Source organism: Homo sapiens, chromosome 10 (genome assembly GCF_000001405.40).
Source record: "Homo sapiens chromosome 10, GRCh38.p14 Primary Assembly".
Lineage (NCBI taxonomy): Eukaryota > Metazoa > Chordata > Mammalia > Primates > Hominidae > Homo > Homo sapiens.
This window is the reverse complement of record NC_000010.11, coordinates 125,783,255-125,804,882: the sequence shown is the minus strand read 5'-3', so window position 1 is coordinate 125,804,882 and position 21,628 is coordinate 125,783,255. Positions and strand designations below refer to the sequence as shown.

The window sequence follows — 21,628 nt, the reverse complement described above, 5'->3', positions numbered from 1 at the left end:
TAGCTGGGGCTGGAGGTGGGGTAGGGTGGGGAACATATACATCAGTAACCGTGATAAGGCAGGGTGGATTAAGTGACCAGAAGAGGTATGAACAGTTTTTGTATGGTGGGCCTGCTATTAAGATACCTGTTTCTACCTGTAAAACACTCAGGATACCAAATAGGTGGGGTTTTTCCTCATATCAATGACCAATTCTCCAATGCTCCAGATAACAGCTGGGTGTCCTACAACTTAATTTTGACATTACCCAGAATTAACCCAGACCCCACAGCTTTAAGGGCTCAGTCTTAGCAAACTGTCCCCCACTTTAGATACAAGTATTGGATGCTGAGGGACCTCTGTCCAAGTTGGCTACAAGTCAGGAGTTCTCACGACTCCCTACTCAGGTTCAGTAATTTGCTAGAATGGCTCACAGAACTCAGGGAAACACTTATGTGTACTGATTTTTATAAAGGAGATAACAAGGACACAGATAAACAGCCAGATGAAGAGGTCTGGAAGGGTCCTGAGTACACAGGAGCTTCTTCCCCCATGGAGTTGGGGTGCGCCACCCTCCTGGCACATGGATGTGTTCACCAACCCAGAAGCTCTATAAACTCATAGTTGAGGGGTTTTATGGAGGTTCCATTATGTAGGCACCATTGATTAAATCATTGACCCCTGGTGACTAGCTCCATCTCCAACCCTTTGATCACATGGTTGTGATCCTCTGTGTGGCCTTCAGCCCCCATCCTGAAGCTTTCTAGGGGCCACCACCAGTCACCTCATTAGCATAAACTCCAGTATGGTTAAAAGGGGTTTATCATGAATAACAAAAGATGCTCCTCTCACCTCTAATGGGAAGTTCCAAGAGTTTCAGAAGCTCTGTGCCTGGAACAGGGAGGAAAACGAAATATTTCCTCTTGTATCACAGTGTCATGTCAGGGTGTCCAAAAGAAGGCAGAGGTCTTCAGGAAAGTCTGTACAAAAGGCATGGCCTCCTCTCCACAGAGAAGGGCAGGCCCTCCCTCAGGCAGTAGCCATGGCCAAGCCCTCCCACTCAGAGGGAGCCACTGAGCAGAGACGTGGAAGGAGAGGGTTTTCCTGGAGAGTACAGCATGGCAGGGGCAGTGGGTGGCAAGCTGGGGAGCACTGAGTAGCCTCTGAGAGTTGACCGGAGCCCTGAGGCACGGGGCCTTACATCAGCCCCTGCGGGTCAGACTCAGGCTGGATTGGTCCTCCCCAGGCCTAGACGGGAACACAACACTGCCTGCTCCCTCTTAGCGGGCATCACTAGGTACAGCCAGGATTGGGCCCAAAAGGCAGTCACTGGATTAGGACCCAGTTCTCTTGTTCCTGGGACTTTTTAGGAGTGTCTCTGAAATTTATCCCTTAAGTAAAAAGAGCATTCTTTAAAACCTACAGAGCCATCGCAGTCTAAGAGCAGGGCCTGGGGTGCTGTGGCAGGTCTTGCCTTGAAGGAGCCGTCTTCCCACAGCTCAGTGTGCTCCAGGGCTTGCTGGCAGGCAGCTTCCACGGGGTCCTGGAGGCTCTGGGGGCATAACAGAAATGCTATCAGGGAGTTTGAGGGCCCGTTATGAGTCTGACATACATTGGCATTTTGTGCATGCCTTTAATTGTCTGACATATTGTGGTACTGAGCTGTGACATGGGAACGATTACTAGACCTGCTTTTGCTCATGAAGAAACTGAGCTCAGAGAGGGAAAACTTGTCCATAAGGAACAGAGCTAATAGTGGTAGGCTGGGGCTCAAGCCTAGGACTGGCTGACTCCAAAGCTCTTCCTGTCTCCCTTGCTCTGTGTGCTTCTAAAAGATACTTAGTCCAAGTCCAAAATATGCTCATTTCTCTTCCCTCAGGTGAAGAAGTCAAAGGAATCTTTTGAAGTGAAGAAAGTGGGTTTGGACGTGCCCTTATGCTGATGAATCATTGGAGTAATATCTGGGGTTTAGCCGCATCCTTGGTGGCAAGGCGGTGGGGAAAGCCCCTGAGGGTGAGGCCAGCCTGAGCCCCAAGGGAAAGGGGCTGCTGGGACCTCCTGACCTCAACTCATCTCCAGGAGCGCACAGGGCCTCGCACAGATGCCTCAGTCTGTACCGCTGGGAGTTCGTGCCATCTCAGACCTACCCTCCCTACCTGGGCTGTACCTAAAGAGATACTGCTAGGCTTTCTCTAGAATGTTTCATGAGCCAGCACTGTGAGACATTTTCAAGCTAAAAACATACAGTTCAGGAGACTGTAATCTGTGGTAGAAAGTGTTCACCATTTGCTGCTAGTAAAGACGGTTGGCCCTGTGCTTCTCTGGCCACTTGTGCCACATGGTGTTCTCGGAAGAGGCCTCTCCATGCACCAGTGTGGAGAAGCCCTCTGGAGGCCAATTCAAAGAGCATCTGAGGCTAAGCAACTGAAAGGAAAAGGCCTGATGGCCAACGTGTTGCTTTCTGTGGAATGTTCCAGACTGGATTGCTGGGGGTCATTTTCTTTAACAGCAGCCTAGACAGGCAGTGACTCTCTTTTATTCAGCCAGGTGTTGAAATAGCTGCAGGGAAGCCACAGACAGTTGTTCCAGCTTTCCGGATCAGAGAGCACTGGTTGGGCCCCGTGCCATGTGGCCCCAGCCCCATGGGATCGCTCCTCAGGTCATGGAGCCACACATCAGTGTGGAGGGTTCGCTCCAGGGGTTCCTGGTACAGGATGCAGATGGGTCTTGTCTGGCTCCAGGCTTTTTGTTTCTAATGTTGTTTCTAGAGAGTCATCATCACCGCATAAATGGTATCAAAGCCCTTCTTTTAAAAATGTAGAAATAAATGTAAATGGTAGATCTTGACATTGCTTGTGGGATTAAGTTCTACAAAGAATAGTAATTATTTCTATGGGTGGCTGACAATTAGCTCTTTAATAGAATAGGTGGCTCCTGCCTGTTTTCAGTGAAGACATTGAGCTGTACCCACAGTTTGTTTGTAAGGAGACAGAAGTGAACCTCTGAGTCGTTGTTCATTAGAAGACCCAGAACCATCAGGCTGGTGTCCCTGCTTTGCAAACACAAGACAGAAGAGATCAATGTCACTTCTGAGTGATCACATTGGTGTTTCAGTTAACTGACTCAAGGCTTGGTTGGATAGATATTAACATATTCTGACCTTATCTGGGAGAATACTGGTCTGCATTCTTTGCAAACTTCTGCCATTTCCTCTAATTTATTACCAGCATATCTATGGGTCCTAATAAATCTTCCATTTGCAATTAGAATATCCAAATAAAAATCCATGTTGACTGCTAATAAGGACCTTCACCTTGGCTTTACCAAGGCATTAATGATTTTTCTTTCTCAGTAAACTTTGATGCCTGATTTTAAAAGCTAAAAATCTACCTCTAATGCTTGTAGTAAACAGGCCAATTCATAGCTATGCCTATTTATTTTAGTTAACACTTAACTACTTTGTGACAGGCACTATTGTAAGTGCTTAAAGCTATTAATCCATTTAATCTGATAACTCATTGTTCTGATAGATTCTCCTTCTTTCCCAGATATCTCCTCTAATGGGAAAGTAATTACACACTAAATGGTAAAAGGTAGAATACAGTATAACTTTTGAAAAGAGAGAGAAACTGTGTGGGCAGAAAGATTGCACTGCAGTTTATTTGAAATGTCCTCCTGGATTGGGAAAATCTCTGCAGCCTGGCACACTTACTGGGCTTTTCTTCCATTCCTCCGATCAGCCTCCTCATCCTTATTATCAGCACTCAGGCGCCCACTGTCTGCTCGAACTGATTCTCATGGCAGTGCCCGAGAGGGGGAAGTCATTGTTAACTTGGAAGTTGTTACTGTTCTACAGATGTGTGCACGTCCTTCAGTAAGATGACATTTTAAAAAGTCAGTGTCATTGATGCAGGACTTTTTGCTCCTTAATTCAGCTAAATCTGGGTTCTTGTCTCATGACCAGGAAAAATTAGGCATGTGGACACATTGAAGGGTGAGAAGGGCAGAACTTATTAAGTGAAAGGAAAGCCCTCAGCTGGGCGCAGTGGCTCACTCCTGTAATCCCAGCACTTTGGGAGGCCGAGGCAGGTGGATCACCTGAAGTCAGGAGTTTGAGACCAGGTCAGGAGTTCTGGCCAACATGGTGAAACCCCATCTCTACTAAAAATACAAAAATTACCTGGGCTTGGTGGCCGCGTCTGTAATCCCAGCTACTCAGGAGGCTGAGGCAGGAGAATTGCATGAGCCCAGGAGGCAGAGGTTGTAGTGAGCTGAGATTGCACCACTGCACTCCAGCCTGGGTGAAAGAGTGAGACTCCGTCACAAAAAAAAAAAAAAGAAAGAAAGAAAGAAAAGCTCTCAACAAAGAGAGGGATTCTCCAAGCAGGTTTCTCCCTCATTATTGAATACCAGGGGTACCACACATGAGCTGATGAGGCCAGGCTCCTCCCCTGCGTAAGGTGCGAATCCTAGTGACTCCGCCCCGTTCCCCCAGCACGCACACGAGGATGCCCAGGTAAACCATAGGTAGTATCGGAAAAGGCAACATTTGATTGGTTAAAAGGCATTATTCGGAAAGAATCAATTGGGAAAGGGCAGACAAACGGGCAGACGTTCTGCCCCTGGGTCGCTGGTTTCATCTGGGACCAGCAATCTGGTCTTTCAGACTTCAGGCTGTTCTGGGCTTGAAGGTGAGGTCTCACCGGGGACCCTTCCCTATCTGCCTAGGCATTTGTCTGCCTCCTGCTTGTATCATCATTTTCTTAATTGCCTGCAGTGACTTTATCAAGCCCCCTCCTGAGCTGCGTAATAATAATACTGTGTTAGGATTTTCAGTGTTATTACTCATCATCAGCCCGGACAGCCCAGAATTCCAGGCCTTCTTCCTGTTAAACGAACGGAGAGCAGAGCCTTTGAGCTCCACAGTTCACTATCTCTGTGTCAGCCTTAACCATCCCATTGGCCTGTTGGGGCTGAAGATAAATCCCCAGGCATTAAGCATATTCCAAAAGGGAATAACTCCTTTGTCTTTGGCTTTTTGAAGTGGGCTAGTTTTCAGGACATGTAGTTGTAGATCTCTCCTCACCAGCAAAGGAGGACTCAGCCAGGACATTTTCAATTTTCTCCTTTCTGCTGACAGGGTGGTGCCTTTTCAGTGAAGTCAGCTGAGCTGGTTGGACATTTGTGGGCCCTGTGTGCCTGCAGAGCCAAGCTCTCTGCAAGGCACAGGTGGTGGAGAGATAGAGACAAGCAGCTGCCCTCAGGGAGCCGCGTACCCCTTCGGCCCAGCCTTGTGAGTCAGAGATAAGAATGAGCAGCTCAGGACTCCACTGGACCCTCACAAGAGGTGCTGCCAAGGGAAGATTCCTGACTCTTTCCAAGGCCCCTCGCACACCTGTGGGGCTGGGCTTGCTGAAAAACTGGACTGTAGTTCTCTTACTGGATCCCCAGGAAGAGCTTTGGCCCCTAACATCTTCCACCCTGCATTCCCCAACACACACATAGACACACAGAAACGGGGAAGAAAATTGCCTCTGAACATGGCTTTGAAAATATGTCTCTAGGGATGCAGAGCATGAAAACATTTCCTCGCACTGGAAGAGAGAAATCAGCAGGCATCTATTAACGAATTTAACAATCTCCCAATTCATTATTTTATTTTATGTTGGTACAGATATTTACAGAGCAGTTTAAATAAAGAAAACATTCACCAGTATGTAGCCTTTATACACTTGAAATTAAGTGGCCTGCAGTTATTCCTGTTGTTTGGCTGCTGCTTGCTAGAGGTGGTACTGGATGGAAAGGGGTTGTTTTGCTCCTTCCTCTCGTTGTAGTCACCAGAGAAGATGTGATCAGAGAGATCATAAGGATGTGAGAAAATATACAATGTGTATGAATAACGCCCATTAAAATTTCTTATGTCTTACGGATGGATGTGGGGGGTAATGGCTGGTTCTACTAAAATGCTGTGTTTTCACATTTGGGGAAGATTCTGGCATTTGACAACTTATCAGCTTTTTTGGACAGTATTGTTGCAAATTGGCATTCAAATCCTATGCTGTCCTCACTATTCTGCAAAGAGTTAAGGGCTGAAAATGCCCTTAAGTCTTCCCAGAGTGGAGATGCTGGGAGCAGAGGTTGTGGTGAAAGGAGAGGCAGGCCGTTCTTAGCAGGCTTCTCTCTCTAAGGCCTGTGCATTCGCCTTTTGGCACTTGGCCTAGTGGCTGTTGGTGTGGCTAGAAGAGGAGTGGGCAGTGAGCTTGTCTTTGTTGGGGGTGGCTGCAGAGCCACTCCTGGCTGCCGGTTACCGGCTGCCTCCTGAGCATGAGCCCTGGCTCATCTGGAGCCTCTTTAAAGGTAGAAAATGTTTGCCCCAGTGCCAGTCAGCACCAGGCCTGATCTTCACCTTCCTGACTTAGTTAAGGTGCAAAGTCTGCCTTCTAAATAGTGACTGCAGGCTAGGGAGTCACTTCAGGATCAGAAGGAGTTAAAAGAATGTGGCTAACTTGTTTGTGTGGATGTTCATTTTCTGAGCACCTCCACACACATTACCTCTTATGATCTTCATATAACAACCCTTCAAGTTCGGCAAGGTAGCAGGTGCTCTTCCTGTTTACAGATGCTGAAACTGAGTCCTAGAAGCAGAGCCAGGCCTGGAGCCCAGGGCTGCTTCCCCCTTCCCAAAGCTGCCCCTCCCCATTCCCCTGTGCACAGGCACTGGCCCTGAGTTTTCACAAAGCCTGGTTATTTATTCACAGGGGAGTCCTCAGCACTGCCTCTTCTATTTCCCTGTGGAAACCTCAAAAGAGAAATCCTGCCAAAAGCGCTCAAGGACAAAGGCGAGTAGAATGCTTTGACTGCATCCCTTACCACTTTGGGATCCACCAGGAGCCTTTGCAGTGATAGAAGTGGGTGGCCCTGCAGAGAGCACACAAGGGAGAGCAGGGCTGGGTTGGATAAGCCAGGCCAGGAGACACAGAGACCATGCTCATGGGAAGAGTGGACGTGCAGTCTGCACTTTCCTTTCTTTGGATCCACTCTTCCCAGCTTGTTAGCTCAAGCTAGGAGCACACAGTGTGTCTCCAGTCCTTCACCAAGAGGACAGGAGATCGAGATGTGGAGGTGGCCCCTGGGCAGATAACTGAGGTGACAAACCATAGAATTGGTTCCACATGTAGAAGAAAGTCTACAAATGTAGCCGATCTTATAATAGCATGCAGCACCCTCCAGCCGAGCCACACAAGCTCCACCTGCCCCTCCAGCTCCACCTGCCGTGGCTCCCAAGACTGTCAGCACCTAGAAACCAGTTCTTGCCTCTGAAGCATGCTGCCGTCCTCGATGCAGATGTCTTAGCTGTCACCTGCGCACCTTTTGCTGTCACATAGTTAGTCTGGGAGCAAAGTCTATCAGTGGTTTGGAGTACCAGCTTTCGGATGAGATAAAAACAGATTTGAATTCTCCCTCTTGCTGTTTATTAGCTATGTGAATGAAGGTAAGTGATGTAATCTCTCTGTGCATCAGTATCCTTATCTGTGAAATATGGTTATCTGTACATAACCATGGTACCTGCCTCATAGAGGTGTTCAGAGATCATGTAGCATGACACCTTGTTCTCCAAAGGCAAGCTCTCCATGGAACTATGACTGTTACTGTCTCTCCCAGGGTTTTGAAGCTCTAATAGTCCACATGAGCAGTGTGACCCAGGATGACCTTAGACCTTGTAACTTTCCCCCCGTATTAAAATGGAGCTAGATCGTATCCCTTCTACCCATATCATCTGTCTTCTAAAGCTACCAGGAATAAAGGCAGAGGACATTAGGTAATAAGATCAGCAAAATCATTAGCTTTTCGGGAACAAGAAAATACCAGGATAAAATAAGAGAAAGCTTGGTCTCAGTTACCCTTAAAGAAATAATATATAAATCAGAGGTTTGATACTTCAGTTTATTTCTTTAGTTTTCAGGGATATGAAATGGCAATAGGTTGCTGTTTTATGCTGAAGTTATCATTTCTTCTGAGAGAGTTTCCCATTTTATTTTCAGAAGCCTGAGTTTTCACTACTTTTCACCTACCATCTGGCTGCCCCTCATAAGTCAATATCTGACTGAAATTGCGTGAGTCCCTTCAGTGCCTAGCGCCTCATCACCAGCCCTGAAAACCCCTGGGAATATTCAGAGTCGCTGAATGGCACAGGGAGGAATGTGGGAAAGTCCACGGCTTAATCAGTTCTTGTACAAGTGGACACACTGAGGCCCAGAGAGGGGACGCGTGGCCATGTGGAGGCACAGCTGGAGTGCAGCCGGGGATCTGGACTCCAGGCCTCTCCCAAGAGCTGCCCTTCCTACACTTGCTGGTGTCATGCAACCAGTCTGTGTGGGATCCATGGAGTGACTAGGGACGGCCTTGTGTGGACAAACCTACATAAGCCTGGGAACAAAAGGCATTCTGGGTACAAATGAAGGCTTTGGTTTCTGGGCCTTTGTTCTTTTTCTGCCGTCTCAGCCTCCTCTTCCACCGGACCACTCCACAGCGTTTAGCAGGCTGCAGAGGACTGTTCAAGGCCTCTCTGCTGAGTCTGGCCTCTCAGCTTCCAAGCAGCTCGTTCCAGGAGGGTGGTGCTGTATTGGGAGGTTTCACCAACTGTGCTGTGAAGTGGTGGAGGCCCCATTGTGTGCCCAGTGCGGTAAAGTCTTTCCTGCTTTTGATTGTGCCCAGGGATTGCCATGGAAAGCATAACTGTGTATCAGACAGTTGCACACCCAGGAATCCAAGGGAACCTGAACAGCTACTATTCCCAGCAGGTACGTGGCGTTTGGGGGCGGTTCTGGCAGGGTGGGTGCCCAGGTGGGGAAGCAGAGGGTGAAGGGCACGAGCTGATAGATGTTGGTTCTATATGTGGTTTCACTGTCCCCAGCTGTCACCTGCATGCCTTTTCCTGTCACATAGTTGGTCTGGGATTCTAGAATTAGGAATGGAAACAATTTTGTGGTTGTTTCATGAAATGTCTATTGCAAGCTGGTTTGAAATCAGTGATTTCGGTAAGAGGTGCTTGTAGTAGGTGGTCTATGAAATCTCCCTCTTTGGAGAGATTAATGTGGTGACTTTGAGGAAGTGGTAAGTTTTTATAGGGGTTAAAGGAGATAATTTACGCAAAGCTTTTTGTACAGCATCGAAGATACATACAACCCTGAGGTAAATAGTGGCCTTGATGTTATCATTGCTATTCATCATACGGGGATGCTGGTGGAGCTGGAGGGGCAGACACTGGAGAGGGAGGCTGAGCCCATAGTGGGAAGAGCTGACAGTGGCCACCAAGGAGTCTGGATTGAATTTGGGAGTCCGTGGGGACTGTTGGAGGACTCAGGCAGGAGAATGGATAGCTCTTGCTTGAGTTCCTTGATGTCTTCAGCATTTATATGCAGTAAAACACCTCCCTTTCCTCTCCCAGGGCAAGCTTCTGAATGTCTTGCCTGGTATTGGGAGGGCCTGATAGGACAAACCAAATGCAAAAAGGCCAGGCAGGCTTGTCTGCTTGCTCTGCTTCCAGAGGGAGGGAGCATTGACAGGGAGCCAGCACTGCCTCACACCACTGCCTCATGTGATCAGTGCCGTATGACCACAGGAGCTAGAGGCATTGTCTAGGCTGCTGGGCACATGAGCTCCGGGATGCCCATGTCCTCTGGCCAGGCAGACACAGACCTGGGGCAGCACCAGCTTTCTGATGGCAGCCTGCTCTTTCCAACAGTTCCCTACCAGAATCCTGCCTCACTGGAGCAGAGGATGCCAGCATCAGCCGGGAACCACTCCTGTGCTAAAACCGCCTTGGTGGCCTGTGGCTTGAGGTCTTGATGCGGATGAAGCCGGAGGAATGTTGTCTCTCCTCAGTCTCATGGCAAGGACTGATCTTGTTTTCTGTTCCCCACAGGGGGTTCCAGCCAGCATCACATTTTTTAGTCCCTCTGGCCTCACATACAGTCTCAAGCACATTCAGGAGTTATCTGGTGACAATATCGATCAAATTAAGGTAAGTTATTCAATGAGCTTTTGGTCTTTTTCAGATTCTTTTTTTTTTTTTTAATCTTTATGAATTATCCTAGGGCTTCAATGTCAAGTGAGACACCCCTGGCCTAGCAGGTGCCTTAGAATTGGAAGGGCAGCTCTACCTCCTGCTGGGCTGTTGCACAGATTGCTCACCTTCTCCCAGCCCGTTTCCTCACTTGCAGCATGGGGATAATTGTCTCTCTGTGGCTTTCATAGACATGTGTATGGTCTTCCCTGCTTAGGATGAGTCTCAGGATTACATGAGGGAATTTGAGTAAAGTCCTGAATTAGCTCAGGGCTTGGTACAGGTGTTAACATCCTTTCCTTCCTTTCCCCCATCTTATGTTTGCCATTATTGTCTATTCTAAAAGCAGTCACCTTTTTCATATCTTTTAAAGGGTTTACATTCTCACTTACTAGGGACTGTATTTATTATGAGTCTACAAATAACCACAACTCTTGTGTCTGTAATAGAAACACCCTTGAACTGGCTCCAGAGGGACTGAGGAGAGGGTGCAGGATGTGACCCAGAGCCCAAGGACAGACACTGCCACTCACTGCAGTCAGGAAGAGCAAAAGGCTTCACCTGCCTTCTCACAGGTGCATCTCATGTGGGGAGTATGCACCGCTCTCCCAGTTTTAAAGATGGAGCACGGGGCTCAGAGACATCATATGGCCTGTCTGTAGGTCACACTGCTGAGAAGGAAGAGCTGCAGTTGAACCTGGGAAGACTGATTCCACATTGTCAGCCATGGTGATGCCTTGCCATGGTCTCAGGAGCTGCTGAGCAGTTGATGCACTTCTGGGCAGTAACTGATACAATTCTCACACCAGTCCAGTGGTGGGTATCCAGAAAAAGAGGTCAGTGTTCCTCATTACAGGTGAGGACACTGAGGGCTAGAGAGGTGAAACAACTTGCCAAAGTCATGTTTTGAGTTCCTAGAAGGCCCAGGACTCACACAGGTCACCGAGGAAGAAAAACAATATCTGAATCTTGTGGTTAGAAAGATTAGAGAGAGGCCGGGCGCTGTGGCTCCCACCTGGAATCCCAGCACTTTGGGAGGCCTCAGGCGGATCACCTGAGGTCAGGTGTTCCAGACCAGCCTGTCCAATATGATGAAAACCCCGTCTTTACTAAAAATATAAAAATTAGCTGGGCATGGTGGCATGCGCCTATAATCCCAGCTACATGGGAGGCTGAGACAGGAGAATCGCTTGAACCCTGGAGACTGAGGTTGCAGTGAGCCGAGATCGCGCCACGGCACTCCAGCCTGGGTGACAAGAGTGAAACTCCGTACCTGCCCCATAAAAGAAAAAAAGAAAGAAAAAGAAAAATTAAAGAGATAGGACCCATAAAGTGCTTAGCATGGCAACTGGTCCATATGACCAGCGCTTACGTCATATTGCAGGTCAGGATGGGTCACGGTGCTGGTCCTGCTCTGGTTCTTGTCCCTCTGTGCCCTGCTGCCTCTCCCCTGGGCCTGTAGGAGGAGTCCCCACCTCCACCCCACCCACCCACCCCCAAGTCACACAATGCTGTGAGATGCCTGGTGGTATAAGCCTAACACAGTTTTCCCCAAGCTTCTTAGTGTTTGCCTAGAGGAAGAACAAAAGATTTATACTCTATCTTCTTTCAAAGTGAGCATATTTAAAAGCACAAATGGATACTCAGCATCTGAACCAAGAACTCAGGCCTTTCTGAATAGACTGCTGCCTGCATTGTCCACACCCATGGCAGCTGGGGGCTGAGTGCGTGTTCCTATCCTGTATCTGTCACACCCATTTCTGCAGCCCTCCAGACACTCTGAGGAGCTCTCAGTAGCCCCCTCGCCTCTTACTACAGTGATTGATTACCCTGCCTGCCAGTAGTTAACACCTCTGCCATTGCTGAGGAGGAGAAAGTGACAGAGCTGGCCTTGCTCACAGTGACTATGGACTGCTTGGGGGCCACGAAGGCACTGTGTGTGGGTTGTGAGTTGTCCCTCGACACTGGGACTTGGCGCTGGATAGTGAGGTGCTTTCAAGGTTCACAGAGGACACAGTCCTAGCCCGTGAGTTGGTAGTTAGGCTTTTCTGTCTCAGCTCAGCCTCAGATTTGCTACTGTCCTCCCTCCCCAGGAGTCCCTGTAGGGCCCACTGTTTGTACAGCATTGCACAACATGCAGGCGCACCACAAAAGATCAAAGGGGGTGACTTCCGACCTGAACTTGCTACTTATCCATTGACTTGGGAAGACCACGCACTTGTCTATAAATGCCACAGAGATGTCACTGCAAAGCAGTAGGTAAGCAGATTCGTAATCACCACCACCACACTAATGGCAGCAGCTGAATTTCCTGTGTACAGCAAAATGCCCTTGCAGCCTGTGAGGTGGGTATCTTCACACCTAGTGCTCACTAGCCACAGTGGCAGAGCCAGGCTGTGAACGTGGCTGCTGCCCCCAAAGCCAGGCTGGTGCACTCACGTCCAGTTTGTGCCAGGGATGGAGAAAGAACGTTGATGCTGGGCCCCCTCGCCTGGCCTGGGGAAGACTGCTGCTCTGTGGGGCAGCATCATGTGAGCATTCATTGACACAGGAGTGAAAGGCTCCTGTGAAAAAGCTGCTGTTTCACCAAACTGTTGATACCCCTGCTCTAGGACTACAGTCATGTTTGCCATTTGCTGGTTCCCAGTCCCAGGGAGTTTCTTTTTTTCAAATTTTTAAATAGCTTTATTGAGATGTAATTCACAAACCATAAAATTTACTTTTTATGATTTTAATATGTAAACTTAAAAATTTTTTTTTTATTTTTTTAGAGATGGGGTCTCACTGTGTTGCCTAGGCTGATCTCAAACTCCTGGCCTCAAGTAATCTTCCCACCTTGGCCTCCCAAAATGTAGGGATTACAGGTGTGAGCCACCACGCCCAGCCCAATATGTAAACTTTAACATGATTTTTATGAGAGTCACAGATTTGTGCAACCATCACCACTGTCTAGTTCCAGGACATATCATCACCCCAAAGAGAAACCCGGTACCCATTCGCAGCCACCCCTCATTCCCTCATTCCTCCCACTCCTTGGCAACCACTCAACTGTTTTTCATCTCCATGGATTTACCTATTCCGGACATCTCATATTAATAGAATCATACAGTATGTGGTCTTTTGTAACTGACTCTTTTCACTAGCATAGTGTTTTCAAGGTTCATCCATGCTGTAGCTGGTACCAGTACTTCATCCCTTTTTAGTGCCAAATAATAGTACATGCTGAGGACCGTTTTATTTACCCATTCACTAGTTGATGGATATTTGGATTGTTTTCCACTTTCAGGCTATTAAATAATGCTAAACATTCAAATACAATTTTCTGTGTGGACATACATTTTCATTTCTCTTGGGTGTATATCTAGGAGTAGATTTACTAGATCTAAGGTAACTTTAACGTTCGGTCGAATTACTGCTATTTTCCAAAGTGGTTGTGCCATTTTGCATTGTCACTAGCAATGTGTAAGGGTTCCAGTTTCTCCATATCCTCCATGTCCTTATTTTTCTGTCTCTGATTATGGCCATCCTTGTGGGTCTGAAGTGGTTTCTCAGCATGTATTTGATTTCGATTTCCCTAATGACTAACAGTGTTGAGCATCTTTTTATGTGTTTGTTAGTCATTTTTATATCTTCTTTAAAGAGATATCTATTCAAATCCTTTGCCTACTTTTAACCCAGGTTATTTGTCGTTTTATTGTTGAATTGCCAGAATTCCTTATTCTGAATACAATTTTTTTTTTTTTTTTGAGATGGTGTCTCGCTCTGTTGCCCAGGCTGGAGTGCAGTGACACAATTGTGGCTCACTGCAACCTCCGCCTCTGGGGTTCAAGCTATTCTCCTGCCTCAGCCTCCTGAGTAGCTGGGATTACAGGTGCACGCCACCATGCCTGGCTAATTTTTGTATTTTTAGTAGAGATGGGGGTTTCACCATGTTGGCCAGGCTGGTCTTGAACTCCTGACCTCAGGTGATCTGCCCACCTCGGCCTGCCAAAGTGTTGGTATTACAGGCATGAGCCACGGCGCCTGGCCTCTGAATACATTTTTTTTTTTTTTTGAGATGGAGTTTTGCTCTCGTTGCCCAGGTTGGAGTGCAGTGGCACGATCTCAGCTCACTGCAACCTCCGCCTCCCGGGTTCAAGCAATTCTCCTGCCTCAGCCTCCCAAGTAGCTGGGATTACTATATGCATTTTTAGTACAGAGGGGGTTTCACCATGTTGGCCAGGCTGGTCTCGAACTCCTGACCTCAGGTGATCTGCCCACCTCGGCCTCCCAAAGTACTGGGATTACAGGCATGAGCTACCATGCCTGGCCTCTAAATACAAACTTTTTATCAGACATACGATTTGTAAAAATTTTCTCCCATTCTGCGAGTTGTCTTTTTACTTTTTTGATAAAGTTCAATTTATTGTTTTTTTCTTTTGTTTCTTGTGCTTCGGGTGTTGTATCCAAGAAACCATTAATTTAGTGTTGCTTTAATTCAGTGTTTTGAAGATTTACTCCTATGTTTCCTTCTACGAGTTGTGTAGTTTTAGCTCTGAACTTAGGTATTTGATCTGTTTTGAATTGATTTTTGTGTGTTGTGTGAGGTAGGGGTCCAACTTTATTTTTTCCTCAGGGAGTTTCCTAAGCAATGGGTGCTTAGCAAGGCAGTACTGTGGGCGGGGTGGGAGCGGGGCCTCTGCAGGACAGTGGCCTCCCTCCCCTCGTTCTGACTCAGCCGGAGGAAGGAGCCTCAGTCCCGCAGCATCCGAGGTTATGCAGAGGTACAGGTGGCTTGTTACCTCCACTACCACCTGGCCTGCTGCTCACTTGCTGGGAGGGAGGATGAAGCGGAGTGCTGGGCAGGGGCTGCCAATGTTGGATGCTCACTTGCTCCCAAACAGGTTTGGGGTCCACAGTCTCAATGCAGAGGAGAGTGGGGGATGAGGACCTTCTCTCATTTAACCCCCACACTAGCCCTCTGAGGCCAGGGTAACTGTGCCCCTTTTATAGGTGAGGATCAGAGAGGCTAAGGGACTTGCACTAATAACAGCTAGCAGGGGGCAGAGCCGGGACAGAAGCAGTGCTCCATCCCAGGCGAGGCTCTGCACAGAACCATCGAGCCTGTGGTGCTTGTTCAGAGAGAGATGTCCTGTGGATGAGGCCAGTGCCCCGGATTGGCTGATTGGAAGTATCACGACAACATAGGCAGCAGCCCATGACGGTCATTGAGCTTATCTCTGGGCCAGGCCAAGTGGTTCACACCTGTCACCTCATTTGATCCCCACAGCAGCCCAGTGAAGAGTCCTGTTATCTTTTCGGTTTGACAGATGAGGAGATGGAGGCCAGAGAGGATGGGCCACGGGCCAAGGTCATTGTCCTGTGGAGCTGGGATTTAAATCCCAACCCTGTGCCCACAGAGCCCTGACCTTGATGGCTCTACTTTCTTGGGGATTCAGTCACTGCCCCTGCCACACCATCCTCCCCTTGATCAGACCCAGGGCCCCCAACACCCGAAGAAGAACTGTCTGCAGCTAGAGCCTCTGAGGAAGGACTGCACTGACACAGCCGTGATGGTGAGCACCAGCCTGGGGCCTTCAAGTCCCTGCCCCTCACCTGAGCCTGGCGACAGTCGCTCAGGGTGGCAGACTGATGAGAGCGTGGATGCAGAGGTATTTTGCACGCTCAGAAGCTGGGCTAGAATCGGGCAGTGTTGTCATTTTTATAAACACGTCACATGAGCAGTAACGTCCAACCGCAAAGCTGGCTGACGGCCCCTGCACACATCCAGCTGCCTGCTGCCCCAGCCCCTCCTGGTGTGCTGAAGCCCTGTTTTCTCTTCTGTCTTTATAGTTTGCAGCCATCGGCCCCACTACGGCTCGCGCGCTGGCCGCCCAGGGCCTTCCTGTAAGCTGCACTGCAGAGAGCCCCACGCCACAAGCCCTGGCCACTGGCATCAGGAAGGCTCTCCAGCCCCATGGCTGCTGCTGAGTCAGCCACCTAGCGCTGGCCCCATGCAGCCTCCCTGGGCTGGGCTGGCTCTGGATGGAGCCAGGCATCGGCAAGGGCTCTCGGGAGCTGCTGCCGTCAGACTCCTGCCTCAAGCCTGAGTGGAAGCACCTGAGGACCGGGGATCGGGACCTGACCTGGGGCTGGCCTCAGGCCCACGTGCACGTGACTGCCCTCTGTGGAAGCCAGCTTAAACCCTAGCCCTGTGAGAGCTTCCTGTGCCCAGCAGGAAGGAAGTCAAATAAACCACACTGACTACCTGTGCTTACTGAGTGTATGGTTGCTGTGTGTCATTTTAAGTGCAAAGCTGTGTTCAGGGAGGAGACAGGTATGCCCACCTCTGATAACCCACAAACCTGCTATGAATCAGAAAATTTGCTCTATATAAAGTAGGTTTATTCATTCTATAAAAAGGACCGTGAAGTTCCTGCTTGTGAGCCATGGACAACTGTGGTTCAAATATAGAAAGACTTGCTTTCCCTCAAAGATGCAGCTGCAGCATTAGACAGTCAAACCATCTGATCTCCCAGGAATCTGAGGGGCTAGAGAGGCCGGTATTTACTGAGAAGAGGTTCATGTGCAAATGCAGTGCCCTGCAGAAAGGCTTTGGAAATCTGTTCCCAAACTTCATTCCCAAAGTTCCCAAACTTCATTCCCAACTCAGCCTGAAGTTTAGGCTAAGTTGACTGAAACCCAGACTTGTCTCTTAGTAGCATGTGGGCTGGTGGTGGGAAGGCTCTGCCCACACACCTCTGTCTCCTTGAAAGATCTGGCTGAAAGGCATTTGGGCTCCCCGTCTCTGATCTCCATTCCTCATAACCCTGAGGAGTGGACATTCCTATTGTTCCATTTTTCTGGTGAGGAAACAGACTCTGGTGAGGTGAAATGATTTGTCAGGGTCACATGCTAGTGAGTGGCAGAACCAGAACAAAATTAAAAGGCATGGACGAGCATAAGCACTGAGGCCTAGACTAATGAAATTCATCAGCCACCTCGTAGGAGATTCACACTAGTTGAGAGGTTAGAATTTGGTGATGATTGTTCTCCAAATCTTGATGTGAGTATACAGAAATTCTTTGAGAACTGTTCTAAAACGGGATTATGGTGATGGTTCCATGAAGTGACCACTTGTGTCAAGATTAAGGAAAATAATTGGGCAAGCACTGTTTCATACACGTTTTCACCATAGTACCAAAGTGAAATAGATTTGCCCAGGAACTAAGAACCTGGCTATACATCAGAACCACGTAATGTGCTTCTAAAATGAAGTAGCTCAGGCCCCACCCCCAGAGAGTCCCCTGAATTGGTTTCTAGAATAAAGCCCAAGCAGCAGGAGGTGTTAGACGCTCTCCAGGTGCCTCCAGTGTGCACCCGTGTTTGGAAACTGCTGGATTGCAGGAATGGGGTCCCCCATAGCTGGAGTGTGATCAGGAATGCCCTCATGCATGGTGAAGAGGCTGGAGAAGCAAGACAAGCCCGGAAGTGAGGAAGGAGGAGGAGAAGTCCAAGCTGTAGGCAGACAAGAGCGGGAGGGATGTGTGGGCTTCGGAAGCACACATTGAAGGAGGAGGAAAAACACCCTGTTGCAGGGCAGGGAAAATAGGTTCCTTTTCAGAGCCTCGGGGTAGGGGACAGAATCGGGGACAAAGGTTCACTAAATGTCTACATGCTAGTAAACACCACACGTGTGTCCTTTCATCCCCACACAACCCGAAGCCACCTTTTGAAGAGATGTGAGGCTATTAACAGTTCTGGCGAAGCCTTGTTTCAGATGGAGTGCGCCAGGGCGTGGTTAAAGATGGTTCTGTTTGGGATCAGGAAGGCAGGGAGCTCATACGGGGCGGGAGATGAGCAAAGCAGCAGGCGCAGTGTCCTCGACGATTGCGTGAGTCGGGAGCCTGGGCTTGCTTTGGCAATTGGGCTGGAGATTCCTGAGAACGTGAAGGCTGAGTAGGCAAAAGCCAGTTTGAAAGGGACTGTGGAGAAACCCTGGTTCTGAAGGTATTGGTGGGACAGAAGGTAAGATCTGTAATTACTCAGCTCAAGAAAGTGAAGCCCAGGGATGTCACACCTCATTTCTTCTGCTCACCCTCCCACGGGACTGCAGTTTCTGTTAAGGGCAATAATTATGTTAATCATTCTATGGCTCAGTGGCTAGATGGGAGTGAACAGAAGCTGGCATAAGGCTTTTCTTCAAAGATACAACTGCAGCATTAAACAGACCATCTGATCTCCCAGGAATCTGAGGGTCTGGGAGGTCAGTATTTTCTTAGAAGAGGTTCATGTGGCCAGGCGCGGTGGCTCACACCTGTAATCCCAGCACTGTGGGAGGCTGAGGCGGGCGGATCAGGAGTTCAAGACCAGCCTGACCAACATGGTGAAACCCCATCTCTACTAAAAATATAGAATTAGCCAGATGTGGAGGGTGCCTATAATCCCAGCTACTTGGGAGGCTGAGGCAGGAGAATTGCTTGAAGCCAGGAGTTGGAGGTTGCAGTGAGCTGAGATCGTGCCACTGCACTCCAGCCTGGGCAACAAGAGCAAAACTCTGTCTAAAAAAAAAAAAAAAAAGGTTCATGTGCAAATGTACAGCCCTATAGAAAGGCCTTGGAAATCTGTTCCCAAACTTCATTCCTACTTTTTAATAGATCCAGCTATTCCTGATGTGCTGGGAGAGGTTCAGCTTTGAGTTCGTAGATGTTCTAGGTGCCGGATTCCCAGAGTCAATGTGGGAAGCCGGGTGGAAGCCAGAGTCTCACTCGACACCCTGAGTGGCAGTAGGGCCACCCAGGACGGTGAGTGAGTCGCACCCCCCACCCTGCCAGCTCCAAACAGAGTAACGCCCCAGCAGGCTGGGTGGCCAGCCTCCTTGTGTCCTTCCTGGGGATCAGAAGGGACAGAAGGGTGGGGTGGGAGAAGACGCTCAACAGATGTGCTGCACAGGGTTTTGCCACAGTTGTGTGATCTACATTCCCTTTTTGCATCTGCTCTCACGTGCCTTCCCCTCCAGCTCCTGGATGGAGGAGAGTTGCTGAAGAAGTTCATGCAGGGAAGGAATAAAGGATCACACAGGAATTTGAGAGCCAAAGTAAAGTGCAACTGGCCCCCCAGGCCCAGAGGGGCTAGCAGTGAGAACTGAAGATGTTCCCTCTGGACCTTCCGGCCACAGCTCATTGATGGGACATGTTCTCAGACAGTGTTGTAAGTTTTGTGTGCTTTAACTCATGAGTTACACGTGGTCACTCACTTAATGAGTTAAGCGTTAATACAACTTCCCTGTGAATAGAAGGTAACAAAATAAAAACATTGTGTTGTATACAAGTCTTCAGAAAATAAGCTACCAAGAATCATTTTACTAAAAATTCTAAGGAAGTAGATGACAGGGATAGAGTCAGTGAGGTGGTCTCAATATTCATTACTCTGGAACAAGAATCCTTGATATTCAGCAAAGTACGTGGTCATTTGGAATAAGAACTACATTTCCCAGCTTCCTTCGCAGGCAGGCATGAGAGTGTGATTAAGTTGTAGCCAAGGGGATGTAGTGAGATGCACACCTCTGACATCATTCTTCCTTCTTCCTGAAATACAGATCGAAGAGCTGGAGCTCCAGTGGGCATCTTGGGCCCTGAGATGACATTGGGGAAAGAAAGTTTTCTGGAACAAGGTGACACTGTGGGCACAAAAACTATCCCAACTCTAGACTTCTTGAGTGTAAAAGACATATCGACTTCTATCTTGTTTAAGCCACTATTACTACGAGATTTTTTCTTTTACAATCAAATCTAAATGATAAAATAATCAAGTGAATTGGTAGAGTAAACATCAAGATAAACCGTTTCCGAGTTTGAATAAAATGCCCTTTTAAGAAAATCTTGGCCTGGTGCAGTGGCTCATGCCTGTAATCCCAGCACTTCAAGAGGCCGAGGCGGGTGGATCGCTTCGAGATCAGCCTGGCTGACATGGCGAAACCCCATCTCTACTAAAAATTCAGAAACTTAGCTGGGTATGGTGGTGCACATATGTAATCCCAGCTATTCAGGAGGCTGAGACAGGAGAATTGCTTGAACTTGGGAGGCGGAGGTTGCAGTGAGCCAAGATGGCGCCACTGCACTCTAGCCTGGGTGACAGAGCGAGACTCCATCTCAAAAAAAAAAAAAAAAAAAGAAAAGTTTGGTTACTAGAAGTCCCTCATATACTTACTGTTGAATCTTTTTATCAAGTTCAATTTTAAGCTGTGTATTTGCATATTATTTATAGATTTATGCCTTGTGCAATTATATAAAGTGTTTGAAAAGCAACTGAAACAACAAAAAGACTTCAGCAGCAGAATTCTCATTTTCACAAAATACTGATAAAACCTACAAAAGCTGCAGGAATGCATTTGCTTGGACAGTTTCTTTCGTTCTTACTGGTAAGCACCCTACTGCTTGGAAGGTATGCACAGTGCTTACAGGAGAAATGTAGTCTTTTATCATATTTATCTCTTGTTAAAAGAAAACCTTAGACAAATTACATTTGAGAGAGTTTAATTGAGCAAAGAATGATTTGCGAATGGGGCAGCCCCTAAACCAGAAAGGTTCAGAGAGGCTGGGGCGCTGCCTCGTGGTTGAAGATTTATGGACAGTAAAGGGAAAGTGACGTACAGAAAATGGAAGTGAGATGCAGAAACAGCTGAATTGGTTACATCTCGGCATTTGCCTTATTTGAACAGGGTTTGAGCAGTTGGCCACCTCTGATTGGCTGAAATTCAGTGATTGGTACAAGAGTAGGTTACAGCCTGTTTACACATCTAGGACAGAGCCCAAGCTGTATCCTACAAACAGGCTGTAACCTACTCTTGTACCCATAGCTGTAACTATTTAGGTTACAGTTCACTGTATACGGAGAATTCTTTAGGCTGAACTTAAAACATGTAAGGAGGCAGCTTTAGGCTAAACTTAACACTCTGAATTAAAAGAGACTTAAACATTTCCCCTCAACATCTCATTTAATCCTCAAAATAGCCCTATCAGGTGGGTCCTATTACCTGCATTTTGGGGACAAGAAAAACTGGACTTGGAGGAATTTAATGCCATACACAAGGTTAAGTGAGGTGGAGGCAGATTGAAACTTTGCTGACCAAGGGCTGAGAGAGAGTTAGATGAGAGAGTGTTCCCACGGGAACGCTGGAGTCCACCTCCCCTTGGCGGGGCTCCCCAGGACTGCAGGACGGGGGTCATGTTCCTCGGCATGGCCTCCAAGCCCCCTTTTCAGCCTGGCTTGACTGCCCACAGCCCGTGTGTATGCGCAGCTCCAAGCTGTGGTCACTCCACCTCTCTGACATTCTGAGACCTTGTTCTTCTCAGGGTGTTTGTGGGCTCCTGAGAGCTGGACCTGTGCTTGTCTCTGCTCCCTGAGCCCCTAGCAGAGGCCTAGGACTCATAGGTGTGGGGGGTAATGATCGGAATCCTGCCTTTACCATCAGCGATGCTTTTCCCAGATAAGCTTCTCCTCTCAGCCCCAGAAGCAAATCATGAGCAATATTATTTATTTCTCAGAACATTTTACACGGTGTTTGTTAATCACCGCATTAAGCTATTGACCCTCCAATGGGCT

The 21,628-nt window shown here is 48.2% G+C and overlaps 1 protein-coding gene across 22 annotated transcripts in view, besides 1 other annotated feature; it reads left to right on the top strand.

The window, feature by feature from the left end:
• UROS (uroporphyrinogen III synthase) overlaps window positions 1-19,903 on the top strand; it is a 38,279-nt gene extending 18,376 nt beyond the window's left edge. For 4 of the 22 annotated variants that reach the window (NR_136678.2, NR_136675.2, XM_024448154.2 and 1 more), the window contains 4 exons: window positions 6,738-6,818; window positions 8,695-8,780; window positions 9,905-10,003; window positions 15,878-16,297. Coding sequence is in view for 15 of the 22 variants with exons in the window: in XM_024448154.2 (XP_024303922.1) it covers window positions 6,738-6,818; window positions 8,695-8,780; window positions 9,905-10,003; window positions 15,878-16,015 (404 nt within the window). In the remaining 7 variants the exon portion in view is untranslated. The other 18 variants (XM_017016611.3, NM_001324036.2, XM_047425708.1 and 15 more) reach the window with 14 other exon arrangements.
• Window positions 20,856-20,915: a silencer, noted in NCBI's record as "silent region_2924". NCBI's record gives its function as "represses an Ori minimal core promoter by ATAC-STARR-seq in GM12878 lymphoblastoid cells {active_cell/tissue: GM12878}" and the evidence as "EXISTENCE:reporter gene assay evidence [ECO:0000049][PMID:35858748]".